Genomic DNA, 19,489 nt, shown 5'->3' on the forward strand with positions numbered 1-19,489 from the left:
AGTACGCAATCCTGCAGCCCCGCCCCCACAGCTGACCAATCAGAGGGCGCAAAGTGAGTCGGATGGGGCGGGCCCAGTTTGGCGCTGACGACGAATCACCTGCCTCAGACAGCAGGGGCGGAAGCGGAAAAGAGCTGAAAGTCTTGGTTTGGCCTTGGGTTCCGCTGTAGGGGAGGTCCCGTGCGAAAGAATGAGGAGATCCTGGGGCCTTACCTACTAGCGGAATCGACTGAAGAGACGCCTGCCAGTGCGGGAGGTAGGAAGCTCGATCCCCAAAGAAAAGAGCGAGTGGGCAGGCAGCTGCGAGACAGAACCGGAGTGTGCAGGGTCCCTAGAGGCCGGTTCCTGGTCTGTGCTGCTCTCCTGGAAGCCATGGTACAGGCAGAGCTCAGGGCGATCCCCAGGTGAGGGCAGCGGCTCTGCCTGGGATTCCACCGCAGTACAACCGGGTAGATGCGGGGTGGAGAAGAAAGGATGTTGCCTGCACTGCTCGCCAATAGCACCCTGAGAGGCTACATTTGCAGAAGCAGCAGCAGCAGAAGACACAGCGCCGGTCCAGGAGGCGGCTCGAGCTGTTCGTAAAGTCGCCCGACAGCTTTTTCTCCGTAGTATGCGAGTTGACAAAACAGCCAGAGAACAGGGCTCCCCATTACAATCTTTTCGAGATCTTTTCCCTTGCTAACCGGATCTGATTTGTGCGAAAACATGCCTTGCACTTGTACCTGGAGGAACTGGAGACAGTGGATTCGACCTTTAGTAGCGGTCATCTACCTGGTGTCAATAGTGGTTGCGGTTCCCCTATGCGTGTGGGAATTACAGAAACTGGAGGTAAGAGGGTTCTGCACCATCAGCCTGTACACTTTCTTCTACCCATCTATGGTTGGGAAAGAGACACCCTTACCCCATTTCTGCCCTGACAGTCCTGAAAACCATCTAATGTAAACGAGCCTACTCTTAGGATATAAACCTGTCTAATTTCTTGTTCACGGTTCTTCAAGTCATGCTACAGGTGGAGGTGGGACCGGGTCGAGAAAATAGAATATATTAATATAGCTGCTTAGAAGGGCACTGTTTTGCAAGTATTCATCAGTTCCCTGAAAGTAAGGTAATTTTATTGCTGAAATCTGATCTGTTCAGACATTGGACGAAACTAGGTCAAATAAACTACCTTGAAAACCATGTATTGAATTTTATTAGCTTTTAACTAGCTTCTTGAATCAAAGCGTTCTAGTTGTTTTAACTTTGGTGTCTGTTTTTACTGTGGAAATTAGCTCTTACCCAACAAAGGTTTTGCAAAAAGTCCCTTATATATATTTTTTGATGTCATATGCTTATTGTGACATCAGTAATGTACTACAAGCTGGAAAACCCCAAGGTAAATAACTCAGATATAAATATTATATAATGAACTTTAAATTCGGAGTTAATAAAACCCACCAAGTACTTTTACAGAGGAACACCTATTACAAGAACTATAATAAGACCATGACTATTTTAGGCCCTTCTTTATTGTGGAAATGATTTTTACATAAACTGTATTTAATATACATTTGTGTTCTCTATTTACACTAAATTATTTTCTGATGACTTTCCCATACTAGCATAGTCCATATAGTTTTTTGTTTGTTTGTTTATGAGACGGAGTTTTGCTCCTGTTGCCCAGGCTGGAGTGCAATGGCGAGATCTCGGCTCACCGCAACCTCCGCCTCCTGGGTTCAAGCGATTCTCCTGCCTCAGCCTCCCGAGTAGCTGAGATTACAGGCATGCGCCATCACGCCCGGCTAATTTTGTATTTTTAGTAGCGACGGGGTTTCTCCATGTTGGTCGGGCTGGTCTCAAACTCCTGACCTCAGGTGATCTGTCCTCGGCCTCCCAGAGTGCTGGGATTACAGGTGTGAGCCACCGCACCCAGCCCCATATACTTACTTGTTGTTGTTGTTGTTTATTTTTATTTATTTATTTTTGAGAAAGAGTCTAGCTCTGTCGCCCTGGCTGGAGTGCAGTGGCGCGATCTTGGCTCACTGCAACCTCTGCCTCCCAGGTTCAAGCGATTCTCCTGCCTCAGCCTCCCAAGTAGCTGGGATTACAGGTGCCCACCACCACACCCAACTAATTTTTGTATTTTTAGTACAGACGGGGTTTCACGGTGTTGGCCAGGCTGGTCTCAACTCCTGACCTTGTGATCCACCCACCTCGGCTTCCCAAAGTGCTGGGATTACAAGCATGAGCCACCGCACCCGGCCCATATAGTTATTTTTAATGGCCATGTAATATTCTGCTACATTCAATATTTCCCATTTGTTAGATATTTAGGTTCTTTCCACAATTTGTCTACAAAAACTTAGGTATAAGCATCTTAATACAAATGGGATTTTCTTACTTTGAAATATTTCCGTGGAGTATAGTATAGGAACCACTTTAAAGGTTAATAATATGCATAATATCAGTCCAGTTTAAGACTTCTCTTAGTTGTTAGTTTCAAATGTAGTTTTTAGGTACCACTAGCTTTTAAGAAAAATTGGAATCTGTAGTCTGTACTTGTCCTAGCCAAGTTCCCAACATGTCTTGCTTGGACTCTTCTCAACACACCAGCCAGAGTAACCAGTTAAAACTTGGCACATTATGTGTGTCATCTTAAATCACTTCTAGTCCTAGAGTAAAGGCCAGTATTCCTCACTGTGGCCATCAAGGTCCAACATGATCTGACACCACTCCCACCTGATCCCCCTCTGACTTTTTCTCCTCAAGTCCTAGGCTTCCACTGCACGGCTTTGCTCAAAAATCCCAGGCATGCTCCCTCCTTGAAACTTTGCACGATGTTTCCCCTTCACAGAATTTCCTTTCCGTAGATATTATTCTCATTCCTTTATGTTCTTCAGGTCTTTACTCAAATGTCACCTGACTACTCTATTTAACATTGTCAACTTCCCCCCACCCCAACTCTTCATATTCCTTTCTCTGCTTTACTTTTTCCATAGGACTTACCACCATCTACCACGATACATATTTTACTTTGTTTTCTTTCCCCCTCTTTCTGCCCAAATGACTGAGTCCCAGTGATGAATCAGGCTTTGTATACTATATGAGAGAACATTACCTCCATAGAACTTGGTGGAGACAAAAGGGACCAACAAAAACAAATCAATAAAATTGTATAAAATGCTGTGGAGGAAACCAGAAAAGATCTGAGAAGTTACCATGCAGGGCAGTCTAATTGCATAACTTCAAAAGACCACTCTACCAGCTATGGAAAATAAAGCAGAAGTGAAGGGAAGTTAGAAAGCTCTTTATGGTAGTGAGAGGTGTTGGGTGCCTGGGCTATGATGGTTTATGGCCCCGGTAAGGATAGCAGGAGTGGAAATGGAAAACTGAATTGTAAGTATCCTTAGAAGTGAGCAAACAAGACGTAGCAGGAAGATTGGATTCCAGAGGAGAAGCAGTGAGAGAAAGGAACAAATCAAAGATGATTCTGAAGTTTTTTGTTTGAACAACTGTGTAAATGGTGGTGCTAGTTACTGAGATAGAAAATTGAGGGTTAGGAACAGGTTTGAGAGAAATTGAGTTCTGTTATGGACATTTAGTTTAATAAGAGACATTCAATAGGCATGTCAGATATGCTGTTGGATATGCACATCTAATGCTCAGAAAGATATGAGCTGCAGATACAAATGTGAGAGTTTATCTTGGTGTCCCCAGGCTGCCGTGAGAAAATACCATAGCCTGAGTGGCTTAAACTACAGAAATTTATTTTCTCACAGTTCTGGAAGCTCATCCCATGCCCATGGTGGGGCATATACCCATTTATTGGAATGGTAGGGTGACCATCTGCACTGTTTAAACTATTTTTCCCACTCACTTGGCTGACCATGTATACCTGAAGTGAATGTGCATGCTGCTCTAGTCTTTTTACCTCAGCACACTTTTTTTTTTAACCTCAGCACATTTACCTCATGCCCTTAGGTCAGTTCTACTCTCTCCCCTCAGGAAGACCTGGCCCAGAAAGCACTCTCTCCTATTCATCTCCACTCTCTGTTTTGAAGCATTTTGCTGAGGGAGAGTTAACTTATTCTTGGATGCTTGTCTTTAAGGGTTTTTTCTTTCCTCTCTTCTTTCCTAAAGTTACCCATGAAAAAAAATCTGTTTATCTCCTCCTCATTTCGTGAGCCCAAAAACTCAACTCATGGCTGATAAAGATTAAGAATAATATTACTGGTATCTACATCAATGTGTCTCAAATTTGAATAAATTATTTAGAGGTAAACATAAAATTAAAAAATTATATTGATAATTTCTGCAGATAGCTAGTGTTGAGTTATTCTATTACAATGTTACTTAAATATATACACACATAAAATAGGTTAAATTTCTTGTGCATGTAACTTTTATATAGCTCAAAAATCAAAACAACTGTAAAACCAATAATTAAAATTAATGACATTAATGTGGAGAGATGATGTTTTTCTGAAACTAAATTACCACTTGCACTGTAAAAATGATATTATGTGGTACAGGATTTTAAAATTTGGCCTGCAGTGACCAAGTCTCTAGTCACTTGTTTTATGATTGTTTAAAAAACAAAAACAACTTTCTTCTTTATAGCACACTGAGGACACTTGACCTTCATTAGTCACAAGCACATCATTTTTCTCTTAAGTGTACCACCAAGTTCTAGTTTTTGGAACTAAAGCAATCAAAATAAGCAATTACTTGGCAATACTTTTTTTTCTTTTTTTCTTTCTTTTTTTTTTTTTGAGCCAGGGTCTCGCTCTGTCACCCAGGCTGGAGTGCAGTGGCGCGGTCATGGCTCACTGCAGCTTTGACCTTCTGGGCTCAAGTGATCCTCTGGCACCCGGCTAATTTTTTGTATTTTTTGTAGAGATGGAGTTTTGCCATGTTGCCCACACTGGTCTCACACTATTGGACTCAAACCATCTGCCCTCCTCAGCCTCACAAAGTGTTGGGATTACAGGCATGAGCCACCGCGCCTGGCCGCAGTACCATCCTTTATAATAAAGGAGATCTAGAATATGCTTATCCTATTATTATTTTCTTAGATCATCACTGAAATTTCACTTCCCTTGGTTTCAGTAACCTGTTGTCCACCATGGTCTGAAAATATTAAATGAAAAATTTCAGAAATAAGTAATTTGTAAGTTTTAAATAACTTATTACAATATATAATTGTTCTATTTTCTTGTTAACCACTTACTGTGTGTCCAATTTATGAATTAAACTTTATCATAAGTATATATGTATAGGAAAAAACATAGTATATGCATATAGGATTTGGGACTATCTATAGTTTTAGGTATTCACTGGGGGTCTTGGAACCTAATCCCCACATATAAGTGGGGACTACTGTACTCAATTTTAAATGAAATGGATAAAAGCAAAAAGCCCTGTAATATGAGTGCTCAGACATTCCTTTTAGAGTCTTACGTCCATATATTTGCTTTTCATTTACTGTTTGATTAACGCCCCCACAATCAGTAAGACTTTGTATTAGCTTTTGGTTTGTTTTTGTTTTTGAGACAGGGTCTCACTCTGTTGCCCAGGGTGGAGTACGGTGGCACAAATCATGGCTCACTGTAGCCTTGAACTCCTGGGCTCAAGCAGATCTCCCACCTCAGTCTTCCTAGTAGGTAGGACTACAGGCACATGCTTCCACGCCTCGCTAATTTATTTTTTGTAGAGATGGCATCTCGCCATGTTGCTCAGGCTGGGCTGGATGGAACCCCTGGGCTCAAGCAATCATGAGCCACCTCACTCAGCCCTTTTCAAGCTTTCTATACATTTTAATGTGGAAATTTGTTGTTGTAAAAATGCATTTGTTCTCCATACTTTTGTTTTCTACCTCTTTTATCTTTGGCCCCTGGTAGAGGAAGAAAAAGTCCTGTTCAAACAGTGAAACTGGGCCGTGCACGGTGGCTCATGCCTGTAATCCCAGCACTTCAGGAGGCGGAGGCGGACGGATCACTTGAAGTCAGGAGTTCCAGACCAGGCTGGCCAACAGGGCGAAACCCCATCTCTACTAAAAATACAAAAAAATTAGCTGGGTGTGTAATCCCAGCTATTTGGGAGGCTGAGGCAGGAGAATCGCTTGAACCCCGGAGGCAGAGGTTGCAGTGAGCCAAGATCGCGCCGCTGTACTCCAGCCTGGGCAACAGAGCAAAACTGTCTCAAAAAAAAAAAAAGAAAAAGAAAAGAAACAGTGATACTTAAGGTTGTAGACCTTAGTTCTATTTTAATTGTAAACTGCTCAACCCTTCAAGCATCAAAAATAAATGCCCACCTTTTCCCCTTAAAAAAAAAAAAAGATTCATACTCTTCAAGGCAAGATTACAAGTTAATATAAAAGTCCCCCCTCCCCCACAAATTTTTTTCAATTTTTTAATTTTTTTTTTTTGTAGTGACGGGTTCTCACTTTGTAGGCCCAGGCTGGTTTCAAACTCCTGGCCTCAAGCGATCCTCCCACCTCGGCCTCCCCAAGTGCTAGGATTATAGGCACAAGGCACTGAGCCTGGCCAAGCTCTTTTGTTTTAATATCAGAATTTATATTAACATGTTATTTTGTTTCTTAAGGTTGGAATACACACCAAGGCTTGGTTTATTGCTGGAATCTTTTTGCTGTTGACTATTCCTATATCACTGTGGGTGATATTGCAACACTTAGTGCATTATACACAACCTGAACTACAAAAACCAATAATAAGGTATGTCTTAATAATTTTGATTCCACTACTGTTGTGTTGGCTTATTTCATAAATATGACATAAAATGTTTTAAATTTCTGTTTTCCTTTTCCAATAGGATTCTTTGGATGGTACCTATTTACAGTTTAGATAGTGTAAGTATGTTTCATTTTTATCTCATTAACTAAGGACTTGTTTGATGATACTATAATTACAGAATGCTTAAGATAATGAAAGTATGTTATTGACAAGGAGTCAGATTAATAAGTAAAAAGGTTCACTTGTTTCTAATGATAGAGAATATAAAGTATAATTAAAAATGTAAAATGTTATATTATAAATGTTTAAAAATCTATAGCTGTTTGCTTTCTTTTAAACTTTCAGATTGTTAAAGAATGTAATATTTTAAATTAATATACTACTCTTTTTATTTATTACGTCTTTTATTTGAATCAAAAATTTAAAAACCTTCCCCAGTGGATACACATGAAATTGTTGTAGATGACTGCTTCTAATATGAGTAAATATTAAAGGAAATATCTTTAGCAGCATTATCTATGATCATATTAAGAAAAACTTCAGATTTAAGAACACAAGTACTTACTTTAGCTTCTCTCTTTATTCATTATTTACCCCTCAAACACTTGTTTTTGTTTACCAATATCTAAGATGTTTATTGCTTTTAAGCATTCATTTCACAGATTGATAGCCCTCATAATGATAAATTTTAGAGAGTCCCATGTAAGTATATGACAAGACATCTCAAGCATAAAAATTAGCTTATTGTGAGTACCATGAATGGAGTGGTGATTCATTTTATCTTAGCTGCAACTATCTTTAACATCTGTGCTTTTTCATAGTGGATAGCTTTGAAATATCCCGGAATTGCAATATATGTGGATACCTGCAGAGAATGCTATGAAGCTTATGTAATTTACAACTTTATGGGATTCCTTACCAATTATCTAACTAACCGGTATCCAAATCTGGTATTAATCCTTGAAGCCAAAGATCAACAGAAACATTTCCCTCCTTTATGTTGCTGTCCACCATGGGCTATGGGAGAGTAAGTATGTTTGGTTTAATTCTTTTATGTTTTGGTTTTTCATTTAAGCAGAGTTTTTAAGTAGCAATCAGCTCTTTACAAGGCAGTGCATTAAGTATTAATAGCAGAACAATAAGTATAAGACAGCTCCTGATGCAGTTCATAGTTGTTTGAAGGCTAACAAAACAGTTTTGTAATCCCACATATATGTTAGTCTTTTTTACATTATTAATCCCAAATCCAAAAATTAAAGTATTGCAGGTAAAAACAGTAATCATTTAATCAATATGCTTTTGCAGTTGAGAACCAAGGTCTGCAGATCTTATGTAAGAACACACAGCTAGTTAAAAGACATAGACAAGATAATGTAGGTTGTAGAACCACATATGATATGAAGTAGGAGCAATAAGTAACAGTGTTTGGTAACATAATACATCAGCTTGCCTTATTATATGTTCATGTAGGACATTAAAACTTATGTCATTTCATTTTGAAAAATAAATTGAGTTTACAATTGCATTTATTATAGAAATGAACCACTTGGTATTTTTCAGCAAGCAAACATTTGGAAACAGTGTTTTAGAAAGATTAATTTTGCAATATCATAAAGGATGAATTGGAAGGAAGAAGATTCCAGAGATGGAGAAATAAATTAGGAGTTTATAATAATCTATTTGTGAAATAAAACTGAAAAGGGGGATGAGATTGGAATAGAAAAGAAAGGCAATAAGAGAATGCAACTGAAAAATCAATAGGACATGTCCACTAATGCAACCGCCCAAGGGGTTCACTTTGCCAGCCACCTAGACAGAACCGATTCATCAAGACGGGAATTGCAAAAGATAAAGAGTAATTCAGACAGAGCCAGCTGTGCGGGAGACAGGAGTTTTATTATTACTCAAATCAGTCTCCCTAGGCATTCGGGGAGCAGAGTTTTAAGGATAATTTGCTGGGTAGGGGGAAGCCAGTGAGCCATGAGTGCTGATTGGAGAGAGGTGAAATCATAGGGAGTCAAAGCTGTCCACTTATACTGAGTCAGTTCCTGGGTGGGGGCCACAAGGTGAGATGAGCCCGTTTATTGATCTGGGTGGTGCCAGCTGATTCAACAAATGCAGGGTCTGCAAAATATCACAAGCACTGATCTTAGGAGCAGTTTAGGGAGGGCCAGAATCTTGTAGCCTCCAGCTGCATGACTCCTAAACCATAATTTCTAATCTTATGGCTAATGTTAGTCCTACAAAGGCAATCTAGTCCCCAGGCAAGGAGGTTTGCTTTGGGGCAGGGCTATTTCTATAGCTTTGGGAGAAACTATAAACTAAGTTTCTCTCAAAGTTAGTTCAGCCTACGCCCAGGAATGAACAAGGACAGCTTGGAGGTTAGACACAAGATGGAGTCGGTTTAAGTTATCTCTTTCACTGTCTCAGTCATAATTTTGCAAAGGCAGTTTCACTAATAAATGAGGAATAAGGTGGAAGTTACAAGCCAAGGTAAATGGAGGTAGAGTGATCAGTGTAGACATACAACATAAGAATGGGTGCATTGCCTCCTATGCAGTACAGGACCATTTGTACAACGTCCTGACAAATTTTGTCTCTATTTACACCCTTGAAATGACAGGGAGCTACCTGGCTTTTTAAAAAAATAAGCTACTAATGTGTTCATTTGACAAATATATGTTGAGCACCAAGTACGTGCTAGTATAAAGAAATACCTTAGTGCACAGAACAGACATAGACCTCATGGAACTTAGTTTGGTTAGGAGAGTTAGGAATTAAGACACAAATATATAGTTAGTTATTTCAGGAAATGCAATGAAGGAAGAAGGACAGGAGGCCATGAGAGAATAGTAATGACAAATTAATATAGATTGGTTATCAAGGGAGACAGATTGTGCTCAACTCTGAAGGCAACAAGGACAAATGGGCATTTATAGCTAGAGCATGTTGAGGGGGTCAGCGAATGCAGAATTACGAAGAGGGGACATCAGGGCTAGGAGGATTCTCACTAAACTGAACAGAATTCTTGCTAAAGGCAGGCCAAGGCCTTAGTCATCCAAGGTGGGTGCTGAGGAATTTGATCGGATGTCAAAGGTGATCAGATATCAAAGGGGGCTGGGGAATGACTTAGCAAGATTCTTTTAGATTGACTGACACAGGACAAGGACAAGGCCCAAGGATGAAGCCAAGTTGAAAAGAGGCATCAGAGGCTTGTCTAAAGTTTGTCTAAATGAGAGTCTTTGTCAAATGAGAAACCATTTATAGGATATTATGCAGAGAACCGGTATCTAAATTTCATTTTCAAAGATTACTGTGTTTTTTTTTTGAGATGGTCTTGCTCTGTCACCCAGGCTAGAATACAGTGGCGTGATCTCAGCTCATTGCAACCTCCACCTCCCATATTCAAGCAATTCTCATGCCTCAGCCTCCCAAGTAGCTGGGATTACAGGCGTGCCCGGCTAAATTTTGTTATTTTTTTTGTAGAGACAGAGTTTTGCCATGTTGGCCAGGCTGCTCTCAAGTGATCCACCTGCCTCGGCCTCCCACAGTGCTGGGATTACAGGCGTGAGGATGGCTTGAGCCCAGGAGTTTGAGACTAGCCTGGGCAACACAGTGAAACCACATCTCTACAGAAAATTTAAAAATAGCTGGGTGTGGGGGCACACACCTACAGTCCCAGCTACTCAGGAGGATCACTTGAGCCCAGGAGGTCAAGAGTAGCCTGGGCAACATAGTGAGACTCCCATGTCTATAGAAAATAAATTAGCCAGGTGTGGTGGTATGCAGATATAGTTCCAGCTACTCAGGAGGCTGAGGTGGGAGGATCACTTGAGCCCAGGAGGTCAAGAGTAGCCTGGGCAACATAGTGAGACCCCATGTCTACAGAAAATAAATTAGCCAGGTGTGGTGGTATGCAGATACAGTTCCAGCTACTCAGGAGGCTGAGGTGGGAGGATTACTTGAGCCCAGGAGGTCAAGAGTAGCCTGGGCAACATAGTGAGACCCCATGTCTACAGAAAATAAATTAGCCAGGTGTGGTGGTATGCAGATATAGTTCCAGCTACTCAGGAGGCTGAGGTGGGAGGATCACTTGAGCACAGAAGGTCAAGGCTGCAGTAAGCCATGTTCACACCACTGCACTCCACCCTGGGCAACAGAATAAGATCCTATATCTCAAAAAATAAAAAAGGTATTTAGATAATTTGTTTCCTGCCATCCACATTCTTCTGCCACTGCTATTAAGGATGACTACATTGAAAGAATTAACTGTAAATATGGTATCATTCATCAAAGTGATTTTAATTTGGAGGCTTTGGGGAAAATCTGATGCTATTTAAATGAGTAGTTGAAATTCTAAGTTCTTTTTCTTTTGCAGAGTATTGCTGTTTAGGTGCAAACTAGGTGTATTACAGTACACAGTTGTCAGACCTTTCACCACCATCGTTGCTTTGTAAGTACTCGGATTTTATATGAACTTTTTTTTTCATCCTTGTGATCTTATGTGGGAACAACTAAGTAGAAAACATAGTGTTAATGTGCTTATTTATAATGCAGGTCTAGTCTGTTGTAAAAAAAAACACTGTATAGAAACTCACTCTATTAAAATAAATAACATGACCATTTATAGGCAAAGAGTCACCACAGGGGTCTCCTAAATATTCACATCCTCTCCAGAGCTAGCTGGCCGTAAAGCACTTTGAAAAAAAAATACCTTCTTTTTCAGATACATAGCTTGACAGAAACCCTATTGCATGAAGTTAAAGTATGCTACTTTAGGTTAATTACAGTTCTATTTTCTACATAGTTAATTTAGAATATATTAGAAGTACTCTAAGAAAGAAGTCATATTTTCTTTTAATATATTCTATCAAGGCTTAGAATTGAGGTAAAATGGGGTATCATTAAGCTACCTGGCAAAACTATTCCCTAAAAATTCAAGAACATCAAATACTTTAATGCCAATAGATTACATGTTTTATCTCCTAGTTGTTACTAACATTTTGCATGCTCACAGAGGAAAAGTGGAAAGAAAGACTTGTGAAAGAATTCTTTATTCTGCCTTTGAGCTAGCAATTATTTAGCCATTTAATTATGAAGGCATGCTTTATTTCCCTGCAGCTTAGAAATTGGGTAAGATTATAACAATACTGATGGTCATACTTACTTGAGGGGATCTGGGTCTTCATAAAATTTACCTCCAAGACAATTGAGGGGAAAAAATTAACAACTACAGTTATATACACCTGCATTATATTATGTTTAACAATCAAGCTTTCCCAAAATTAGACAGCATAGTTGTTTTTTTTTAAATTTAGTACTCTTTCTAGTTAAGTGTTATGTGTCTTATTTGGGATTTCCTTCAAGTTGAAGGAATATAGTAATATTTCTAGAAAAAAATGGGTTTTTCATTTTTGAACCACCTCTAGATCCAAAGTCAAGTGATTGTCAATGGATCTCTCAAATAAACTGACTTCTAAATTCTCTGTGTCCAAAGTCAAGTGATTGTCAGTGAGATCTCAAATAAACTGACTTCTAAATTTAAGTATTGCTATTGCTGTATTTTGAAGTACGATTTTGATTTAATCAGAGATATCTCATTTTTACTATTTTTAGAATCTGTGAGCTGCTTGGTATATATGACGAAGGGAACTTTAGCTTTTCAAATGCTTGGACTTATTTGGTTATAATAAACAACATGTCACAGTTGGTAAGTAAAATGTTCACTTTTCTTAAACTGTACTAAATTCGTATCTATAACTAAATTTCTTTAGACAAAGTTTCTTCTTAGGATAAGGCTTGCTTCTTTTTAATCTTCCTATAAATTAAATCTGAAATTTAATTTATAGAAAGACTTGAAAAAAATTTAATATATATCTTAATACATATATAAAGATATAATAACATCTTTGTTTATTATTTGGCAACTTATACCCTCACATGTTGACCATGTTTGTTCATTTATTTCTGTTGCTCATTGCATAGCTGTATGAGTATGTCATAAATAAAAGCACAGTGCTACATAAAAAAAAAAATACACACACACGCCCACATATACTGAACATATTCAGAAGAGAAAATATCAAATTGGTATTTGATGGTACAGGGTTTGAATAAAAATGTGAGAATAAAATTCTCTGTTATCATATATTTGAAGTTAAAGGAAAATTGAGAATGCCAAGTTTAAAAAAATGGATGATGTTCTAGAAACTGTATGTTCCAAAGACCTATGATGTAATGTCCTATTTGATCTTACAAGCTTAAAAAAATGTGCATTTTATTTAAATTCTTTGACTAATGCTGTCAGCAAAATAATTTAGATGCAGTGGTATGCATGGTTGGTATTAGAGCTTTATAATAAAAATTAAATGTCCATGTAGCTAAAGTTTTCCCACATGTTCATCCTCTTTGGAACCAGTAATTCTGTTTCTGGGAATGTATTCTAAAGAAGTGTTCAAAAGTATGTTTGCCTAAAGTATCTTTGTATATAAAGCCCATTACTTGTAAATAACAAAAGGCTGAAAGCAATCCAAAACCCAATGTTAGGGACTAGTTGAATGCACTGTGGTCTTTCCATTGGCCAAAATATTAGGCAGTTACTAAAAATAAGCCTGATGAAACATATAGAAGTTATGTATTTTAAGTGGAAAAAACATTAGGCAATAAAATTTTATAATTAGTTCATGACAGTTATTTAAAAACTGGCTTATGTGTAAAAAGGATGATTGGACACCATGAATCACTTTATTCTTTCTTTCTTTACTGGTTTCATATTCTAAAATACTTTGAATTTGCATTTTATATGATTTTAATAGGGAATAGTGAACTTTCAGGAAAATGTTTATTGTTATTCAGCACTACACTAGGTTATTACAGATTTCTAAAAAGTTAGTAAGTCTTGTTCATTTTAAAAAATAAATCTAGCTGAACTAATACACCGCTCTCAGGAAAAATTGTTTGATTCTTTACATTCAGATTTCATAGTCACAATTTTATTGAAATTGTACTTGTTTAATGGGTTACTTTAGTTACATAGGATAGACTAGGTAATAAGCTAAAGCCTCATAAAATGAGTGGTCAGAAATTTATGTTTAAAAGCCGTTACAGATGGATTTTTTTATTTTGGCTGAACAAGAGCCATTTCTTCCATTTATGTCAATCATTTGTTTATTGTTCCCTTTATGGAACCCAGGAAGTGAACACTTAAAAACATTTTTACGGAAGATGTTGTATGTAGTATATATTCATCTATAGTAAACTATGAAAGCTTGTTAATCTAAAAATAGAATAATAAAGCCTAGAAAAGTTTGCCTGAAACATTACTCTGTACCAGGTCTCTGGTATGTAACTTTAATATTTCTATTACCATATCTATTACTGAACAAGTTTAAATGTTAATCTTGTTTCTAGTTTGCCATGTATTGTCTCCTGCTCTTTTATAAAGTACTAAAAGAAGAACTGAGCCCAATCCAACCTGTTGGCAAATTTCTTTGTGTAAAGCTGGTGGTTTTTGTTTCTTTTTGGTAAGTGTTACTTTTTTTTAAATGTTCTCATTTTTTTAAGGGCAGTAAAAACCGTTGATTAAGGAGGATTTTTAAACAGTCTTAATGCGGAAGATAGATTAAAATGTCTCTACTTCTCTTTTTAAAAGTTCATCTTTTTAGCCCTTCTACAATTTTCAAAAGAAATAATTAGATGGTCGCTGTAACATTTATATGAAGAAAATAGTTTGAGACAACCTAAATATGTCAATACTAGAATAATTATTAAAATAAATCATGGCCCTGTCATATAATAGAATACTATGGAGTTTGGAAGAAAGCATGATGTAGAATATTTAATTATATGGGAAAATAATCAGTAAATCTTTTTAAAACAGAAGGTAAAACTATACATAGTTCAATATAGTAAAGAGGGCCGGGCACAGTGGCTCACGCCTGTAATCCCAGCACTTTGGGAGGCCAAGACAGGTGGATCACCTGAGGTTGGGAGTTCCAGACTAGCCTGGCCAACATGGCTAGTCTCTACTAAAAATACAAAAATCAGCCAGGCATGGTAGCAGGCACCTGTAATCCAAGCTACTTGGCAGGGAAGGCAGGAGAATTACCTGAACCCAGAAGGCAGAGGTTGCGGTGAGCCAAAATCATGCCACTGCACTCCAGCCTGGGCACCAGAGTGAAACTCTGTCTCAAAAAAAAAAAAAAAAAGAATTTAGTAAAGAGGTGGGTAATAGGGGTCCTAGAAACAAATACACCAAATTTAACAAGCTAGAAACAATACAAAAAGGGAAAAAGAAAAATCCCTGAAATCCCACCACCCAGAAAAGAATGATTAACATCTTGGTAAACCTGTGTCACATATAAAACTCCAGAGAAAGTTTCATACTATAAAAATTTTTGGAATTCGACAATGTTCAGTAGTATATTGTAGATACAGTTCTTTGTCAGTAAACAGAAATATTATTTTGTTTTGTGGAGGGGGTGATTTTTATTTTTATTTTTATTTTGCTTAGTATTCTGTTATGTGGATATAACTTTTTACTAATCTCCTTTTGATATTCAGGTTGTTCCTAATTTTTTTACCATTATAAGAAACACTGAAGTGAATATTCTTATGTATACAACTATGAAAGCATGTCCATGTCATTATTTGCTGTTTAAATTTTACCTGGGGCCATTATCTCTAGATTTGCTTGAAATGCTCAGCTTGACTCCCTATCTTGAGACAAAACTACTAGAAAAATGAATTTGTAAAGCAAATTAATATATTTAACATAGAGTTTCTTCAGCAATATGCTGTAAAGGCAGGGTGGTGGTGGTACACAGGTTGCACTGGATTTTTTTTTAATGGCACATTTTTAAAACTACTGCTCATTTTATGCTTGATATAGATTTGGCGTTTACCTTTTCCTAACATATAGGCAAGCAGTAGTTATTGCTTTGTTGGTAAAAGTTGGCGTTATTTCTGAAAAGCATACGTGGGAATGGCAAACTGTAGAAGCTGTGGCCACCGGACTCCAGGTAAGTAGTGCCATCTCTGAATTCAATAGAACTTTACTATTTGTTAAGCATTTTTACATATCTCCACTAAACCTGACAACACACAGGGTATGGGGCTATTATCCTCACTTTACAGGTGAGAAAACAGGGGAACCCTAGAGAAATTGGCCATAATTACTAATTTGTAGCAGATCCATGAATAAAACCTGGATTTCATTATTCCTAAGTCCAATTCTCTTTCCACATTTCTCCTTGTAGTCCTTGGGTGGTGGAATGCAATATACTTGATGTGATTGAGAATGAAATGTACTTTGCTAAGAAATACTTGAGGCTGGCCTGGTGCAGTGACTCACGCCTGTAATCCTAGCACTTTGTAAGGCCAACGTTGGGGGATCACTGGACCAGGCATTCGAGATCAGCCTGGGCAACAAAGAGAGACCTCATCTCTACAAAAAACTAAAAAATAAAATACTTAGCCAGGCATGACAGCACATGCCTATACTCCTAGTTACTTGGGAGGCTGAAGTGGGAGGATTGCTTGAATGCAGGAGTTCAAGGCTGCTACTTGAGGAAGTGCAAAATAGATTCACATTTTGGCATTTTGTCTTTTTTTGAAGGGGTCAAAAATAATTATTTTAGAAAATGGAAAAATGAATATAATCTGAGAAGAAAAAACACAGCTGTTTATCTTAGCACTTTTGAAAAGCAAGTAGAGAAAGATAGCACTCTACAAACCTAGATTTAAATCCAAAGGTGGCTGTTATCTTATTGTTGTTCTCATAGGATTTTATTATCTGTATTGAGATGTTCCTCGCTGCCATTGCTCATCATTACACATTCTCATATAAACCATATGTCCAAGAAGCAGAAGAGGGCTCATGCTTTGATTCCTTTCTTGCCATGTGGGATGTCTCAGATATTAGAGATGATATTTCTGAACAAGTAAGGCATGTTGGTAAGTACCAGCTATTTAATTCAACCAAATAGGTTGGGTAGGATATTGAATTTCTCCTACTAGGGCAATTTATTATCTATTTAGAGATGAAAAAAGACTTTAAAGCAGTACCACAGTGCAGGCTCATCAACTTTGGGGAGTGGGAGAGGGGGAAGTGGGGAGCTTATTTTTAGAATGGTAAGTTTATAATGGTAAAAATAACTTTTGACTAACAGAAAACTTTATATTAAAGGACGGACAGTCAGGGGACATCCCAGGAAAAAATTGTTTCCCGAGGATCAAGATCAAAATGAACATACAAGTTTATTATCATCATCATCACAAGATGCAATTTCCATTGCTTCTTCTATGCCACCTTCACCCATGGGTCACTACCAAGGGTTTGGACACACTGTGACTCCCCAGACTACACCTACCACAGCTAAGATATCTGATGAAATCCTTAGTGATACTATAGGAGAGAAAAAAGAACCTTCAGATAAATCCGTGGATTCCTGAACAGTATGGAAAAGCAAACTGTGCAACTACTACATTATATCATTACCTGGTATCCCATGGATTTTGTGCTTGGGACAGACCATAAATGATGGAAAATGTCAACACAAAAATAGCTGAAAGCCAGGTACAACTACTGCATTTATATATGTAAGTTTTGTATATCAAAAATAATTGGTCTAAATTTCCTAGACTTAGACTTGATTTCTTAACATTAGGGTATCGCATACTCAAATGGTAGACAATGACCCCAACTAAATCTTCCTGATGTTACACTGCTTTATCAAGAGGATGGACTTTTTTTTTTTTGAGACAGACAGAGTCTTGCTCTGTCACCCAGGCTGGAGTGCAGTGGCGCAATCTCGGGTCACTGCAAGCTCTGCCTCCCAAGTTCATGCCATTCTCCTGCCTCAGCCTCCCAAGTAGCTGGGACTACAGGCACCTGCCACCATGCCCAGCTAATTTTTTTTTTTTCAGTAGAGACAGGGTCTCACCATGTTAGCCAGGATGGTCTTGATCTGACCTCGTGATCCGCCGACCTCGGCCTCCCAAAGTGCTGGAATTACAGGCGTGAGCCACTGCGCCTGGCCAAGAATGGACATTTTTTAAAAAAACATCAGTACTTCCTACCACTGCTGCATGAGTATAATGCTCCGGAATTATCAGAAAGCATAATGCAGAAATACGAATTAGTGGAACTTAATCATGTGCCATATAAGCTTACCTAACAAACAGTTATATCCCTATTCCTCAACTGAATGTCTTTCAATAAATAAGAATTTATCATTTATTTTCTGCAACTTTTTTATGTCTCATTCTTTAAACATTAAAAACCCTTAATATTTTAACAAAAATTTCTTGATTAGAGGCACAGTGAAAAAGAAGTCAAAAAAAAAAGTTCTACTTTTCATCAGTGCTATTAAAGGTGGCAGCAAATGTAAATCTTGGCTGAATGGTCTTAATTACTCATTAAACCACAGTCAGAAAGACATATAGGTGCTATTTGGGAAAACTTTTTATTACCTAGGATGGGGTTTCTCTAATTGCTAATCACAACCCCACTGGGTCATGTTTGACATTTTATAATGAAAATAAAACAGAAAGTGCCATAGTATGTTACAGAAAGCAAAGATGAGTATTGTTTCTCAAAGCCTTTGCTTTATGTATTTATACACATACTCATTCATATCTATCTATATATATAGAGAGAGATAGTGGTTCACAGTAATCATACAAAGTCTTTATTCCATCCACTATTATAAACATTTCTATTAAAACTAAAACTGGGCTCTATGTAAAAACCCCAAAGATACACACACAAAAAAAATCTGTTTGTTAGAACTCAAGTGAATTCAGTAAAGTTGCAGAATACAAAATCAACATACAAAAAGCATTAGCATTTTTATACATAAATAATGAAAATAATGACCTAACTGAAAAATTAAGATGCCATTTATGATAGCATAAAAAAAATACTTACTTAGGAATAAATTTAACACCAAGGCAGTAAAAGATCTGTATGTACACTGAAAACTATGAAACACTGATGAAAGAAAGACACAAATAAATGGAAAGGTATCCCGTGCTCATGGATCAGAATAATACTGTTAAAATGGTCACACTACCCAAAGCAATTCAGAATCAATGCAATCCTATCAAAATTCCAATGGCATTATTTACACAAACAGAAAAAAATCCTAAAATTCATATGTAACGATAAAAGACCCTGAATAGGCAAAAGAATACTGAGGAAAAAATGTTGGAGACATCACATTTCCTAATTATAAATTATACTACAAAACTATAGTAATCAAGACAGTATGGTACTGGTATAAAAACACATACACAGGCCAGTGGGACAGAAGAAAGAGTCCAGATATAAATCCAAACATACACAGTCAACTAATTTTTGACAAAGACACCAAGAAGACACATCGGGGAAAGAACAGTCTTCATTAAGTGTTCTTAATGAAGATGCTGGGAAAACTGCACTTCCACATGCAAAACAATGAAATCAGACCCTTATCTTAGACCTACACAACAATCAATTCAAAATGGATAAAAGACCTAAATGTAAGACCAGAAACTATAGAAGAGAACATAGGAGAAAAGTTCCTGGACACTGACCCTTGGCAATGATTTTTTGGATATCACACCAAAAGCTCAGTCAACAAAAACAAAAACAAATGTGACTACATCAAACCAAAAAGCTTCTGACAGTAAAAGAAACAGTCAACAAAATGAAACAGTAGCCTACAGATTGAGTAAAAAATATTTGTAAGGCATATATATGGAAAAGGGTTAGTATC

General features: G+C 37.6%; 1 protein-coding gene across 2 annotated transcripts, besides 2 other annotated features; it reads left to right on the forward strand.

Moving 5' to 3' along the window:
* The first annotated feature begins 145 nt into the window (after positions 1 to 145).
* On the forward strand, positions 146 to 19,470 carry TMEM184C (transmembrane protein 184C). Of its 2 annotated transcripts, NM_018241.3 has the most exons (10): positions 146 to 828; positions 6,583 to 6,713; positions 6,811 to 6,847; positions 7,553 to 7,758; positions 11,110 to 11,184; positions 12,348 to 12,441; positions 14,142 to 14,254; positions 15,652 to 15,751; positions 16,514 to 16,685; positions 16,918 to 19,470. In NM_018241.3, exons 1-10 carry the CDS (start codon positions 706 to 708, stop codon positions 17,181 to 17,183), a joined length of 1,317 nt encoding a protein of 438 aa, NP_060711.2. In that variant the 5' UTR covers positions 146 to 705; the 3' UTR covers positions 17,184 to 19,470. The 2 variants fall into 2 exon arrangements, with proteins under 2 accessions (NP_060711.2, XP_047271914.1); XM_047415958.1 differs by lacking the exons at positions 16,514 to 16,685; positions 16,918 to 19,470 and having other exon boundaries at positions 15,622 to 15,697.
* Positions 366 to 485: an enhancer, noted in NCBI's record as "active region_22001". NCBI's record gives its function as "activates an Ori minimal core promoter by ATAC-STARR-seq in GM12878 lymphoblastoid cells {active_cell/tissue: GM12878}" and the evidence as "EXISTENCE:reporter gene assay evidence [ECO:0000049][PMID:35858748]".
* Positions 516 to 565: an enhancer, noted in NCBI's record as "active region_22002". NCBI's record gives its function as "activates an Ori minimal core promoter by ATAC-STARR-seq in GM12878 lymphoblastoid cells {active_cell/tissue: GM12878}" and the evidence as "EXISTENCE:reporter gene assay evidence [ECO:0000049][PMID:35858748]".

Source organism: Homo sapiens, chromosome 4 (genome assembly GCF_000001405.40).
Source record: "Homo sapiens chromosome 4, GRCh38.p14 Primary Assembly".
Taxonomy (NCBI): domain Eukaryota; kingdom Metazoa; phylum Chordata; class Mammalia; order Primates; family Hominidae; genus Homo; species Homo sapiens.

Coding starts and splice junctions, on each gene's coding strand:
- TMEM184C (NM_018241.3), top strand. CDS start 706: ATGCCTTGCACTTGTACCTGGAGGAACTGGAGACAGTGGATTCGACCT. Junction 11,185..12,347: donor TTCACCACCATCGTTGCTTT/GTAAGTACTCGG, acceptor TACTATTTTTAG/AATCTGTGAGCTGCTTGGTA. Junction 12,442..14,141: donor TAAACAACATGTCACAGTTG/GTAAGTAAAATG, acceptor TCTTGTTTCTAG/TTTGCCATGTATTGTCTCCT.